At 35.3% G+C, this 15,416-nt stretch overlaps 1 protein-coding gene across 45 annotated transcripts in view; it reads left to right on the forward strand.

Moving 5' to 3' along the window:
* CCDC7 (coiled-coil domain containing 7) overlaps nucleotides 1–15,416 on the forward strand; it is a 439,541-nt gene that overhangs the window by 136,230 nt on the left and 287,895 nt on the right. For 43 of the 45 annotated variants that reach the window (XM_047425743.1, XM_047425742.1, NM_001321115.2 and 40 more), the window contains 2 exons: nucleotides 3,481–3,754; nucleotides 4,679–4,751. In XM_047425743.1, the coding sequence (XP_047281699.1) occupies nucleotides 3,481–3,754; nucleotides 4,679–4,751 (347 nt within the window). The remainder of the gene's footprint in view (nucleotides 1–3,480; nucleotides 3,755–4,678; nucleotides 4,752–15,416) is intronic. The other 2 variants (XM_011519679.1, XM_017016652.2) reach the window with 1 other exon arrangement.

Genomic DNA, 15,416 nt, shown 5'->3' on the forward strand with positions numbered 1-15,416 from the left:
AAGACTACTGCCCTCACTAGGAGAGCTCACAGCACTCATCAAATAGTCATTACGATGACCATGATTTATTACATAAAAAGGATGCAAAGCAAAATGAGCAAAGGGAAAATGTGCATGGTAAAAATCCAAAAGAAACATCCTACTTAATCTGAGATTATGGTGTCCCGTAATTCCTTAGCTACCTGATCACTATAGCCATTCTCACTGAGAACAAGCAATTTGTTCTTTCTTGAGTTTTTAAGACTATATACGATATGGACACTGAGATATTGGCCATTTCAACTTAGTAGTTTGTCTGGTATAAGGCTTCCAATGGGGTTATTTCCCACTTCAGCGGTAGCCCAAACTCTCTGTTTTTCAAAAGCTGTAACATACACGAGTCACATACCACTAGCTACACATAACAAGGTTTATTGAGAAAAACTTACAAGCAGAATAGCGAGCAGAGCACATTGCAATATTGCAGTTATCAATGAAGGACCTTGAGAGTCTCTGCCAAGCTACCAAGTAGGGAAGGGAGATATTAACCGAGGCCATTCAGAAACATGTTTGTCATTCTCATTAACTGATGACTTTTTTTTTCTAGTAAGAGAATAGTTTTTCTTTTATCCTATATAATTTCCCCATAGTTTGAGTTCCATTTCTGATTATTTCAGTAATAGCATTGCTGGTGGAGCTAGATGTAGCTAGGCAACATTGTCAGCATAAGAATTATTTATACATTTACAAACTATTTCTAAGCAGTCCATCACCCTAATTTTCTTTAAGTTAATAATTTCAAGTGTTTTAACCTTTTATCTTTTCCAGGCTCTTAGTCATCTTGGACTTTTACTGAACCTTTAAAACTTTTTGACTTTCTTTTCAGTTGAGGAGCCTAAAACTAGTCACTATGAATATTTTGATCAACATTAATTGTATTGTATTGTAAAAACTATCAAAATATTTATAACTTTTGACTTTTATAACACCTATATTGAAATTTTTCTATAAAATTGATTTTTAGAATCATGTTAGTTTGTACTGTATTACAAACTTCGGGTCCTAGATATTTTTGTTTTTCTTGTATATAGGAATGAGTTCCACATGTTGTATTGTTGCAGATAAGAATATCAATAATATTTTATTAGTATTTTATTGATAATTTGTCTCGTATTTGCATTGATAATTAAAAATTCAGTGTAACATAAATACCTGTGAGAGTTTTTTTCCCTAAGGGGAGAGGATATGGATTGGGGGTTGTGTTGACATTTTAGAAAATGGATGGAGTTAAGGAAAGTTCCGGAAAAAGAAAGTATTGGAAAGAAAAAAAAAATAAAGAGGGCAGTTTGAAAAAGAAGGTATTAGAAAGAAAAAAAAATAAAGAGGGCAGTTTGGGCAGTTAACATTCAATGACATTTTCCATTTTGTCTGATTTAAGAATTATGAAGTGTCCATGATTATATGCATAATAAATAGTGCCCTTGTACATCTATTTGCTTAGTAAGAAAAGGATGCAATGCTCAGATCTTCAGAGTTAACAAATGCTTTTGCAAGCAGGAAGAGATACACTCTTTATACCACTTCAGTGATGTTGAAGACTGTCATGTAGAGTGCTGTCAATATGCTTATATAAAAGCTGCTAAAATACATGCTCATAATTAGACTATTATACGGTAGTATTTAGACATGGAGTGATTATTAGAGAGTCTTAATCTAAAGCAGACAGTGAATGACACAAATTTAGTAAGATTTATAAACTATATTTTGGTTGTTTTTGGCAATTCACCAAATAATTGGGAGGGTGAAAACAACTTGCTTTATTATTATTTTCTTTGTGGCTATAGGCTGCCTTCTATAGTCATCATTGCTGTTCTCCTCCTCCTCCTCCTTCAACTCCTCCTCTTCCTTCTCCTCATTCTCCTCTTTCTCTTCCTCCTCCTCCTTCACCATCTAATCAGTAGGGCTTTGAAAGTATTTCCACATCTCTTTGACTGGCACAAGCTTGAATACAGCATTGCTTGCACACCTTCCTAGTAGTTTTTATTCCTGACCCCCTCAGTGGAAGTATCATGGTTGTTATGCTGTGGTTCCTTATGGATGCAAGAGACAACAGAAGTGGGGAAAGCCTGAACGTGGGAATATGGTTATAAATGTACAGTATATTAGCATTTAAGGCATTGTTCTTTGTATTGCCACATATTTTCTCATTGTTATAAGAAAATTGCCTGTGTAGAATCAAGTGATTAATGATGTCCCCTAATAACCATTTCAGAATCTTAAAAAACATTTGCTTTCTATTTTTAGCTATGTGATAATATTAGTGTTGGGGTGGTGGTTTGTGAATAACTGTAACAAATAGTGTCCAGATGAGTGTTAGACTTTATTTTAGAACTAATCATCTTAAATTCAAACACCTAATAGAACTAATAAATCAGGTTTGAGAATGAGATGCTATCCTTAATTTAGGATAGGAAGCCAGCTATTCTCTTTACTTTTAATATGGCAATTTGCTTTATAATGCCACTACAAAAGTCTGTTTGTCATAAATTCTATGTTTTTTTAAACTGTCAGCACTATATATATATATATATATATATATATATATATACTTTTTTTTTCAGAGCTGTCCTCTCCACCCCACTCCCCTTTTTTATAACCCAAACTTTGCAGTTCAAAATTCATTCTAAACTAACAAACGTAGGATAGGTGGCAGTAGGTACATTGAAAAATTTTTCTTCTGTGAGACCAAACTTCAAATTATTTTAAACACTTTGCAACAAACCTTAGGCAAATTATGTCAACTGGGGTAATAGCTGTTCAAAACAAAATGCATCAAATTCTGTTGCATTTCATAGGACTAGGAAAGCTTTGTTAAATTTTTATATAGTTTGATCACTTAAATTATCATCTAAACTAGAATGTTGGGACAACAAGCAGAAACTGGGATTGTGCATGCAAACTGTGACACCTGGTTACCCTAGTTCTGGAATCCAGAAAGCTGATCCTTTGGCAACTGGTAGAGAATAAATACCCCTTATCTTAAAGAAAACTAACTCAGAGCTTGGGAAATTGACTTTGGTGAAAGATGGTGATCTTTTAATGTCAAAGTGACTGTGGAGATATTTTAATTTTCATTCTGAAATAAAATTGTGGAAAAATAATTTTGGAATAAATGTGACTAAAGGGTAAATCTCCAAACCATCCTATGTTCTACTTTGGCTGAGTAAATTTTTCTTGTTCTATGGCTTACAACCTTGAATAATGATTATATTGGAGTATTTTAAATGATTTCCTTAGTATTATGTATCCCTTTAAATCACAGGACATATGTTACTATCTTCAACTTGTTACCTAGCATCAATTTCATATTGGAATAACCATAAACTAATGAGTAATTATACTTACTTATTTAATATCCTTATATATTATTAAAATGATTCTTCAGTTGCAAATAAAATGGTCTTCACATAATCTAATACCAGATGTTTTATAATTCTAAAGCTCAGAGAAGAAACGATCTAGCCCTGCTATTTCAGATCTTTCACAGATCCTTAAGTCTCAAGATGAATCAGCATTTTTAGAGAGTTCAAATGAAGTTTCAGTTGCTGAAAACCAATCCTATAAATCTCCATCAGAGACCCATGATAAATCACTTACAACAGTATCATCCAGCAAAGAAGTTCAAGATTCACTGTCTGTTGGAACATTGGCTCAAAAAAACGAAACAGTGATATCACCATTCATTTTACCTCCTGTTCTTACAGAAAGTAAAAAGGTATGATATATATAGAAACTTGAAAGCTGTTTATTTCATATTGCTCCTTCAATAAATAAATGCTAACCCATTTAAATGGGTTAAAAATTCAATATTTTCTTATTTCAAGAGAATTAAAAGTTTGCCTTTTAACACAACCCACTTTATATTTAGAATGCTGAAAGTAATATTTGGGAATCTAAGTAATATTCTTAACTTATAAAAATTGTTTAATATTGATTAAAAAGTTGTGGGTTACATTTTAGTTTTAATGGTAATATAAAAGATATGTCATTCTGAGATAAGGGAAATTTTCATAGTTTTCAGCTTCATCTACAAAAAAAATTTTTATACAATAAGATGATTGTAAAAGCAAACTAATTTTGAAACAATTTTATATAGGTCTCTAAACAAGACCTAGAAAATTTTTAGAATTGCTTTTGTTAAAAAGCATTTAATTAGGAAATTCTCAGGGCAAAAATGCTGGGAAAAAGGGAAAAGATAAAAGGGCTGTACATATTTGACATGTATCCACAATATATTTTTATCATACATTTTATTAAAGTATTCCTATAATAATAATTTTGTAAGCCATTTGAGTTCTTCTAAAGATTAAAACAGACTAAAATATAAATCTAAACAAGAATCTTAATAATTATTAACACTATTTGCTTAGAACTATTTGCGAGGGAAAAATCACAATATTGCCTGGGCACCCTCCTTGCTATTCAGTGTTCCCAATTGCCTCTCAGGTCCATTAATTGTTCTGACTTTTTAATTTGATACATTCAGGAAATAATGAAAAATAAAATGTTTCTGCAATGACATTGTAGATGAGAGCAAAAAGCTAGCTCTTTTTCTCAAAGCAGGTAATTAAATACCAGTCTTGATATATATATATATGTATATAATTTCTAATTACTTATTACAACTTTTGTTATTAAGGCTGATGTTTCAGAAGAACAATTACAAAAGATGACTGAAGAACAAACTTACCAAGCAGCAGAAAAATCTCAAGGTAAAAAGACTCTGTTTTGGAAGATGAAAATGTGATTGAATGATTATGTGTTTCCATGATATAATTATAAATAAATGAGGGGAAAACATTATTAAATATACAAACAACTTGTTAGGGAGTCACTGGATAGCATACAAATATAACGACAATTATATAAAAATTATCTCGGTGGGCCAGGCGTGGTGGCTCATGCCTGTAATCCCAGCACTTTGGGAGGCCGAGGCGGGTGGATCACGAGGTCAGGAGTTCGAGCCCAGCCTAACCAACATGATGAAACCCTGTCTCTATTAAAAATACAAAAATTAGCTGGGTGTGGTGGTGCATGCTTGTAATAGCTACTCAGGAGGCGGAGGCAGGAGAATCGCTTGAACCCAGGAGGTGGAGGTTGCAGTGAGCCGAGATCACGCCACTGCACTCCAGCCTGGGCGACAGAGTGACACTTCATCTCAAAAAAAAAAAAAAAAAAAAAAAAAGATTGGTGAGTTATCATTATATTACTTAGAGAGTCTATTTTAACTAAGATCTGTGTAAAGGGGAAGCAATAGCTTTATCTCAAGCAAATAATAGTATGTGGCATTATGAATTCTTAATATGACACCCGAAATTAATCTGAGCATAGCAGGAAAAAAGATGATTTCTGTATATGTAATATTTTTGCTAGGTTATTTAGGTGTTTGATATACGGTTAAAAGCAAAGATATTTTTTTCTTCCTTTCCAACATGTATCATGTTAGTATTCAATCAATATTTTATTGCATTGACCTAAACTTAAATTTTTTTTTTTTTTGAGACAGAGTCTTGCTCTGTCGCCCAGGCTGTAGTGCAGTGGCATGATCTCGGCTCACTGCAAGCTCCGCCTCCCGGGTTCACGCCATTCTCCTGCCTCAGCCTCCCGAGTAGCTGGGACTACAGGCGCATGCCGCCATGCCCAGCTAATTTTTTATATTTTTAGTAGAGATGGGGTTTCACCGTGTTAGACAGGATGGTCTCGATCTCCTGACCTTATGATCCGCCCGCCTTGGCCTCCCAAAGTGCTGGGATTACAGGCGTGAGCCACCGCGCCCAGCCAAATTTTTTAATTATTATTATATTTTAAGTTCTGGGATACATGTGCAGAACGTGCAGGTTTGTTACATAGGTATACATGTGCCATGGTGGTTTGCTGCACCCATCAACCCGTCATCTACATTAGGTATTTCTCCTAATGTTATCCCTCTCCTAGGCCCCCACCCCTGACAGGCCCCTGTGTGTGATGTTCCCCTCCCTGTGTCCATGTGTTCTCATTGTTCAGCTCCCACTTATGATTGAGAACATGTGGTGTTTGGTTTTCTGTTCTTGTGTTAAGTTTGTAGAGAATGATGGTTTCTGGCTTCATCCACGTCCCTGCAAAGGATGTGAACTCATCCTTTTTATGGCTGCATAGTATTCCACGGTGTATATGTGCCATATTTTCTTTATCCAGTCTATCATTGATGGGCATTTGGGTTGGTTCCAAGCCTTTGTTATTGTGAACAGTGCCACAGTAAACATACATGTGCATGTGTCTTTATAGTAAAATGATTTAGAATGCTTTGGGTATATACCGAGTAATGGGATTGCCGGGTCAAATGGTATTTCTAGTTCTAGATCCTTGAGGAATCGCCACACTGTCTTCCACAATGGTTGAACTAGTTTACACTCCCACCAACAGTGTAAAAGCATTCCTATTTCTCCACATCCTTTCCAGCATCTGCCGCTTCCTGACTTTTTAATGATCACCATTCTAATAAATGTGAGATGATATCTCATTGTGGTTTTGATTTGCATTTCTCTAATGACCAGTGGTGATGAGCTTTTTTCATATGTTTGTTGGCCGCATAAATGTCTTCTTTTGAAAAGTGTCTGTTCATATCCTTCGCCCACTTTTTGATGGGGTTGTTTGTTTTTTTCTTGTAAATTCGTTTAAGTTTCTTGTAGGTTCTGGATATCAACCCTTTGTCAGATGGATAGATTGCAAAATTGTTCTCCCATTCTGTAGGCTGCTTGTTCACTCTGATGATAGTTTCTTTTGCTGTGCAGAAACTCTTTAGTTTAATTAGATCTTATTTGTCAATTTTGGCTTTTGTTGCCATTGCTTTTGGTGTTTTAGTCATAAAGACTTTGGCCATGCCTATGTCCTGAGTGATATTGCCTAGGTTTTCTTCTAGGGATTTTATGGTTTTAGGTCCTATGTTTAAGTCTTTAATCCATCTCGAGTTAATTTTTGTATAAGGTGTAAGGAAGGGATCCAGTTTCAGTTTTCTGCATATGGCTAGCCACTTTTCCCAACACCATTTATTAAATAGGGAATCCTTTCCCTATTGCTTGTTTTTGTCAGGTTTGTCAAAGTTCAGATGGTTGTAGATGTGTAGTTTTATTTCTGAGGCCTCTGTTCTGTTCCATTGGTCTATGTATCTGTTTTGGTACCAGTACCAAGCTGTTTTGGCTACTGTAGCCTTGTAGTATAGTTTGAAGTCAGGTAGTGTGATGCCTCCAGCTTTGTTGTTTTTGCTTAGGATTGGCATTGACCTAAACTTTTAAGACAAAATTAAATGGCTGTGGTGGAGGATACAGGAGCAACACTCTTCTATTTTGTTTTGAAGTGGGAATGCCTCTGTTTGACCTGTGATGATCCATTGTCTGAGCTAAATATTCATTATTATCTAAAGACGTTTTCTTTTATCCCAGCAGTCAAGTTGAACTGAATTAATCTAGTTAAAATTTTCAAAATATGAAGTATACCTAACATAAAATATATCATTTTAACCATCTTTAAGTATACAATTCAGTGGCGTTAATTACATTCACAGTGTTGTGCAACCATCACTAACATCTATTTCCACAACTTTTCATCACTCCCAAAGGAAACTCATTAAGCAATAACTCTCATTCCCCGCATTTTCCTCCATTTGGGGTTGCTGTAACAGAATACCACAGACTGGCTAATATAAAGAAAAATTTATTTTTTACAGTTCTGAAGGCTGGGGAGTCCAAGGTCAAGGGACCTGCCTCTGGCTACAGCCTTCTTGCTGCATCATCCCATGGCAGAAGGTGGAAGGGTGAGAGAGCATGAGAGAGCAACAGAGAGAGGAAGGGGGACAAACTCGGGAGCCTACTTTGTGATAACTTACCCCCTCCTACAATAATGGCATTAATCTATTCATGAGGACAAAGCCCTCATTACCTAATTATGTCTTAAAGAGCCTAACTCTCAACATTGTTGCACCAGGGATTAAGTTTCTAGTATATGAACTTTAGGAGGCACGTTTAAATCAAAGCACACACTGATTTGTATTCTGTGACTGCTGAATTTATATGTTAACTCTAATGTTTTTGTGTGGAACCTTTGAAATTATATGTATATATGAATCATCTGTGAATAAAGATAGTTTTACTTCTTCCTTTCCAATTTGGATGGCCTTTGTTTCTTTTTATTTTCTAATTTCTCTGACTGGATCTTTTAGTACAATGTTGAATAACAGTGATGAAAGTGGACATCCTCATTTTTTCCTTAAGAGGAAAATTTTCAGTCTTTCACAATTGGATATTGTTATGGTTTGAATGTATACCCTAAAAGTTCATGTGCTGGAAACTTGGTCCCCATTGTAGCAGTGTTGACAGGTGGGACCTTTGGGAGTTGATTAGGTCATGGAGGCCTTGCCACATGAATAAATTAATCCATTCATAGATTAATGGGTTATCAAGAGAATGGGTCTTCTTTAAAAGCCAGTTTGTCTGTCTCTTGTGAGCTTCTTCGCCATGTGATGCCCAGAACAGCCTCAGCACTCTGCAGAGAGAGTTCCTACCAGCAAGGAGGCACTCCTCCGATGTGGCTCCTCAACTTTGAAATCCCCAGCTTTCAGAACTGTAAGAAATAAATTTCTTTTCTTTACAAATTACCAAGTCTCAGGTATTCAGTTATAGCAATAGAAAATGGACTAAGGCAGGTATATTAGGTGTGGGTTTTTATAAATGTACTTTATCATGTTGTGGAAGTTTTCTTCTATTCATAATTTTGTGAGAGTGTTTTTCAAACCATGAAATGGTAACAGATTTTGTCACATGCATTTTTTTTGCATCAATTGAGATGAGATGATCATGTGGCTTTTTCCATTGTTCGATTAATGTGGTGTATTATACTGAGTGATTTTCCTAGTTTGAACCACACTTTCTTTCCTGGGATAAATCCTACTTGGTCTTGGTGTATGATTCTTTTAATATGCCATTAGTCCATTTTTCTAGTATTTTTTGAGAAGTTTTGCATCTGTATCATAAGGATACTGCTCTGTATGTTTTTAAAAATAATGTCTTTTTCTGGTTCTGGTATCATGGTAATGTTGGTCTTATTTTGTAAGTTTTCCCTATTCTTTTATTTTTTAGAAGAGTGTGAGGAGAATTGGTGTTAAATCTTTAAATGTTTTATAGAATTCATCAGTGAGGCCATCTGGTCCTAGACATTTCTTTGTTGAAAGCGTTATGATTACCGGTTCAATTTTCTTACTAGTTATAGGTCTGTTCAGATTTTCTTTTTTAAATTTTTAGTTTATAATTTTTTTCTGGGTACCTAGTTGGTGTATATATTTATGGGGAATATCAGATATTTTGATACTGGCGTATAATGTGTAATAATCACAGTAGGGTGAATGGGGTATCCATCATCTCAAGCATCTATCCTTTATGTTACAAATAATCCAATTATACTTTCTTAGTTATTTTAAAATGTATAATTAAATTATTATTGACTATAGTCACCCTATTGTGCTATCAAATACTAGATCTTATTCATTCTTTCTGGTTTTGTGTACTCATCCTCGTTTCCCCCACTATGCTTACTAGCCTCTGGTTAACCATCCTTCTACTCTCAATGTCCATCCATGAGTTCAATTGTTTTAATTTTTAGCTCCCACAAATAAGTGAAAACATGCAGTTTGTCTTTCTGTGCCTGGCTTATTGCACTTAACATAATGTCCTCCAGTTCCATCTATGTTGTTGCACATAAACAGGATCTCATTCTTTTTATGGCTGAATAGTCCTCCATTGTGTATATGTACCAAATTTTCTTTATTCATTCATCTGTTGCTGGACACTTAGGCTGCTTCCAAATCTTGGCTATTTCATTATTTTGAATGTTCTAAGACTTGTTTTGTGGCCTAACAAATGGTCTATGCTTGAGAATACTCCGTGTGCTGAGGAGAAAAATGTGTATTCTGGTGCCACTGAAAGAAATGTTCTGTAAATATCTATTTGGTTTATAGTGTAGATTAAGTACGAGATTTCTTTGTTGATTTTCTGTCTGGAGGATCTGTCTAATGCTGAAAGTGGGGTGTTGAAGTCTCCAACTGTTACTGTATTTGGGTCTATGTCTTTCTTTAGCTTTAATAACATTTGCTTTATAAACTGTGGTGCTCCAGTTTTGGGTGCATATATATTTACAATTGTTATATTATCTTGCTAAATTTACCCCTTTATCATTACATAATGCTCCTCTTTGTCTCTTCTTATAGTTTTTATCTTGAAATGTATTGTGTCTGATATAAGTGTTGCTACTCCTGCTGATTTTTTTGGTTTCCATTTGCATGGAATATGCTTTTTTTCATCCCTATGCTTTCAGTCTATGCATATCCTTATAGGTGAAGTGTGTTTATTATACTCAACCAATCATTGGATATTGATTTTTTCAAATCTATTCAGCTACTCTGTATCTTTTGATTGGACAGTTTAGTCTATTTACATTCAGTGTTGTTATTGATTCTAAGGACTTATTCTTGCCATTTTGTTATTGCTTTTCCAGTTGTTTTGTGGTCTTCTCTTCCTTCTTTCTTCCCTTTTTGTCTTCCTTTTAGTGAAGGTGATTTTCTCTGGTGGCATGTAGTAATTACTTGCTTTTTATTTTTTGTGTGTCCATTGTATATATTTTTAGATTTGAGGTTACCATGAGGCTTGCAAATCATATAACCCATTATTTTAAACTGATGATAACTTAACACTGATTGCACAAATAACAACAACAACAACAGCAAAAACAAGCAAAAAGGAAACTAGCAAAAACTCTACACTTTAACTTCATCCCCCTGCTTTTTAACTTTTTGATTTTTCTCTTTATGTCTTATTGTTAACTATGTCTTGGAAAGTTGTTGTAGTTCTATTTATTTTTAATTGGTTCATTATTTAGTCTTTCTACTTAAGAGTATTTTACACATCACAATTATAGTGTTATACTATTCTCTGTTTTTCTATCTGCTACTACCTGTGAGTTTTATACCTTCAAATGATTTCTTATTGTTCATGAATGTCCTTTTCTTTCAGATTGAAGAACTCTCTTTAGCATTTCTTATAGGACAGGTCTGGTGTTGATAAAATCCCTCAGCTTTTGTTTGTCTGGGAAGGTCTTTATTTTTCCTTTATGCTTAAAGCATATTTTGCCAGATATAATATTCTAGGGTAAAAGTCTTTTTCCTTCAGCTCTTTAAATATGTCCTACTACTCTCTCCAGGCCTGTAAGATTTTCACTGAAAAGTCTGCTGCCAGATGTATTGGAGCTCCATTGTATGTTACTTGTTTTTTTCCCTCTTGCTGCTTTTAGGATTCTTTCTTTATCCTTGACCTTTGGGAGTTTGATTATTAAATGCCTTGAGGTAGTTTTCTTTGGGTTAAATCTGTTTCTATAACATTCTTGTTCTTGAATATTGATCTCTCTGTCTAGGTTTGGGAAGTTCTCTGTTACTATCTCTTTGAATAAACTTTTTACCCCTATCTCCCTCTTTCTACCTCCTCTCTGAGGCCAGTAACTCTTAAATTTGCCATTGTGATGCCAATAATGCTTAAATTTTGCCTTTTTGGACTTTGCAGCTAATAACACTTAAATTTTCCCTAATTTATAGATCTTGTAGGCATGCTTCATTGTTTTTTATTCTTTTTTCTCCTCTGTGTATTTTCAAATAGCCCCTCTTGAAACTCTCTAATTTTTTCTTCTGCCTGATCAGTTCTGCTATTAAGGACTCTGATGCATTATTCAGCATGTTTATTGCATTTTTCAATTCTAGAATTAGGGAAAACTTAATTCTAGAATTAGGAAAAATTAAGTGTTATTAGCTGCAAAGGCCAAAAAGGGCAAATTTAAGGATTATTGGCATCAAAATGGCAAATTTAAGAGTTTTTGTTAGTTTCCTTTTTGCTTGTTTTTTTGTTTGTTTGTTTGTGCAATCAGTGTTATCATCAGTTTAAAATAATGGGTTATATGATTTGCAAGCCTCATGGTAACCTCAAATCTAAAAATATATTAATAGATACACAAAAAATAAAAGTGAGTAATTACTACATTGCCACCAGAGAATATCACCTTCACTAAAAGGCAGAGGAGTCTCACCAGCACCACCACAGGCCCATGGGGAGTGCTGCCAGGGTGTTACCTGTGTTTATTTAAGGACCAAGGGCTCTTCAGTTAGCTTTTGGTGAATGCTGCCAGGCCTGGGATTCACCCTTCAGGGCAGCGGGCTCCCATCTGTCCCAGGGTAGGTCCAGAAATGCCATCTAAGAGCAAAGGTCTGGAATTGGAGACCTCAAGAAAGCACTTGGTGCTCTTTCTCACTGTGAGCGACATGGTACCTAAGCTGTTTTTTGGTTCTTATGAAGGTCCTTTTTTTGTGTAGATAGTTGTTAAATTTGGTGCTCATGTGGAGAGGACTATTTGTGGAAGCTTCTATTTAGCCATCTTGCTCCACTTCCTCTATAGTTCAGATTTTCTATTCATGATTTAGTCTTGGTAGGTTGGTGTTTCTATGAATTTATTCATATCACCTTGGTAATCCAATTTTTGTTTTACAGTTGTGCATTGTATTTTCTTATAATCCTTTTTAGTTTATAAAATTATAATGTTTCTTTTTCATTTCTCATTTTAGTTGAGTCTTCTCTCTCTTTTATTCAATCTAGCTAAATGTCTCAATTTTGTCAGCCTTTTCAAAGAACCAATTCTTGATTTCATGGATTTTACCTATTGTTTTTCTGTTTACTTCATTTATCTCTGATCTTACCTTTATTAATTTTTCTGCTAGCTTTGGATTTAGGTTGTCCTTTTTCTAGTTTTTTTAAGGCATAAAGTTAGGTTGTTTATTTGAGATTTTCTTTTTAATGTGTGTCTACAGCTCTAAATTTCATTTTTTTGTACAACTTTCGCTGCATCTTATAAGTTTTAGGTAAATTTTTATTTTTGTTTTCATTTATCTCAAGATATATATTTTTTAATTTTACTTTAAGTTCTAGGGTACATGTGCATAACGTGCCAGTTTGTTACATATGTATACATGTGCCATATTGGTGTGCTGCACCCGTTAACTCGTCATTTACATTAGGTATATCTCCTAATGCTATCCCTCCCTGCTCCCCACACCCCCCGACAAGCCCCAGTGTGTGATGCTCCCCACCCTGTGTCCATGTGTTCTCATTGTTCAGTTCCCACCTGTGAGTGAGAACACGTGGTGTTTGGATTTCTGTCCTTGCAATAGTTTGCTGAAAATGATGGTTTCCAGCTTCATCCATGTCCCTATAAAGGACATGAACTCATCCTTTTTTATGGCTGCATAGTATTCCGTGGTGTATATGTGCCACATTTTCTTAATCCAGTCTGTCATTGATGGACATTTGGTTGGTTCCAAGTCTTTGCTATTGTGATTAGTGCCACAATAAACATATGTGTGCATGTGTCTTTATAGCAGCATGATTTATAATCCTTTGGGTATATACCCAGTAATGGGATGGCTGGATCAAATGGTATTTCTAGTTCTAGATCCTTGAAGAATCGCCACACTGTCTTTCACAATGCTTGAACTAGTTTACAGTCCCACCAACAGTGTAAAAGCATTCCTATTTCTCCACATCCTCTCCAGCACCTGTTGTTTCCTGACTTTTTAATGATTGCCATTCTAACTGGTGTGAGATGGTATCTCCTTGTGGTTTTGATTTGCATTTCTCTGATGGCCAGTGATGATGAGCATTTTTTCTGTGTTTTTTGGCTACATAAATATCTTCTTTTGAGAAGTGTCTGTTCATATCCTTTGCTCACTTTTTGATGGGTTTGTTTGATTTTTTCCTGTAAATTTGTTTAAGTTCTTTGTAGATTCTGGATATTAGCCCTTTGTCAGATGGGTAGATTATAAAAATTTTCTCCCATTCTGTAGGTTGCCTGTTCACTCTGATGATAGTTTCTTTTGCTGTGGAGAAGCTCTTTAGTTTAATTAGATCCCATTTGTCAATTTTGGCTTTTGTTGCCATTGCTTTTGGTGTTTTACACATGAAGTCCTTGCCCATGCCTATTTCCTGAATGGTATTGCCTAGGTTTTCTTCAAGGGTTTTTATGGTTTCAGGTCTAACATTTAAGTCTTTAATCCATCTTGAATTGATTTTTGTATAAGGTGTAAGGAAGGGATCCAGTTTCAGCTTTCTACGTATGGCTAGCCAGTTTTCCGAGCACCATTTATTAAATAGGGAATCCTTTCCCTATTACTTGTTGTTGTCAGGTTTGTCAAAGATCAGATGGTTTTCAATGTGTGATATTATTTCCGAGGGCTCTATTCTGTCCAACTGGTGTATCTCTCTCTTTTGGTACCTGTACCATGCTGTTTTGGTTACTGTAGCCTTGTAGTATAGTTTGAAGTCAGGTAGCATGATGCCTCCAGCTTTGTTCTTTTGGCTTAGGATTGTCTTGGCAATGCAGGCTCTTTTTTGGTTCCATATGAACTTTAAAGTAGTTTTTTCCAATTCTGTGAAGAAAGTCATTGGTAGCTTGAAGGGGATGGCAGTGAATCTATAAATTACGTTGGGCAGTATGGCCATTTTCACGATATTGATTCTTCTTATCCATGAGCATGGAATGTTCTTCCATTTATTTGTGTCCTCTTTTATTTCACTGAGCAGTGGTTTGTAGTTCTCTTTGAAGAGGTCCTTCACAGGCCCTGTAAGTTGTATTCCTAGGTATTTTATTCTCTTTGAAGCAATTGTGAATGGGAGTTCACTCATGATTTGGCTCCCTGTTTGTCTGTTATTGGTGTATAAGAATGCTTGTGATTTTTGCACATTGATTTTGTATCCTGAGACTTTGCTGAAGTTGCTCATCAGCTTAAGGAGATTTTGGGCTGAGACGATGGGGTTTTCTAAATATACAATCATGTCATCTGCAAACAGGGGCAATTTGACTTCCTCTTTTCCTAATTGAATACCCTTTATTTCTTTCTCTTGCCTGATTGCCCTGGCCAGAACTTCCAAAACTAAGTTGAATAGGAGTGGTGAGAGAGGACATCCCTGTTTTTTGCCAGTTTTCAAAGGGAACACTTCCAGTTTTTGCCCATTCAGTATGATATTGGCTGTGGGTTTGTCATAGATAGTTCTTATTGTTTCGAGATATGTCCCATCAATACCTAATTTATTGAGAGTTTTTAGCATGAAGCGCTGTTGAATTTTGTCAAAGGCCTTTTCTGCATCTGTTGAGATAATCATGTGGTTTTTGTCATTGGTTCTGTTTATATGATGGATTACGTTTATTGATTTGTGTATGTTGAACCAGCCTTGCATCCCAGGGATGAAGCCAACTTGATCGTGGTGGATAAGCTTTTTGATGTGCTGCTGAATTGGTTTGCCAGTATTTTATTGAGTATT

Source organism: Homo sapiens, chromosome 10 (assembly GCF_000001405.40).
Source record: "Homo sapiens chromosome 10, GRCh38.p14 Primary Assembly".
Classification (NCBI taxonomy): Eukaryota; Metazoa; Chordata; class Mammalia; order Primates; family Hominidae; genus Homo; species Homo sapiens.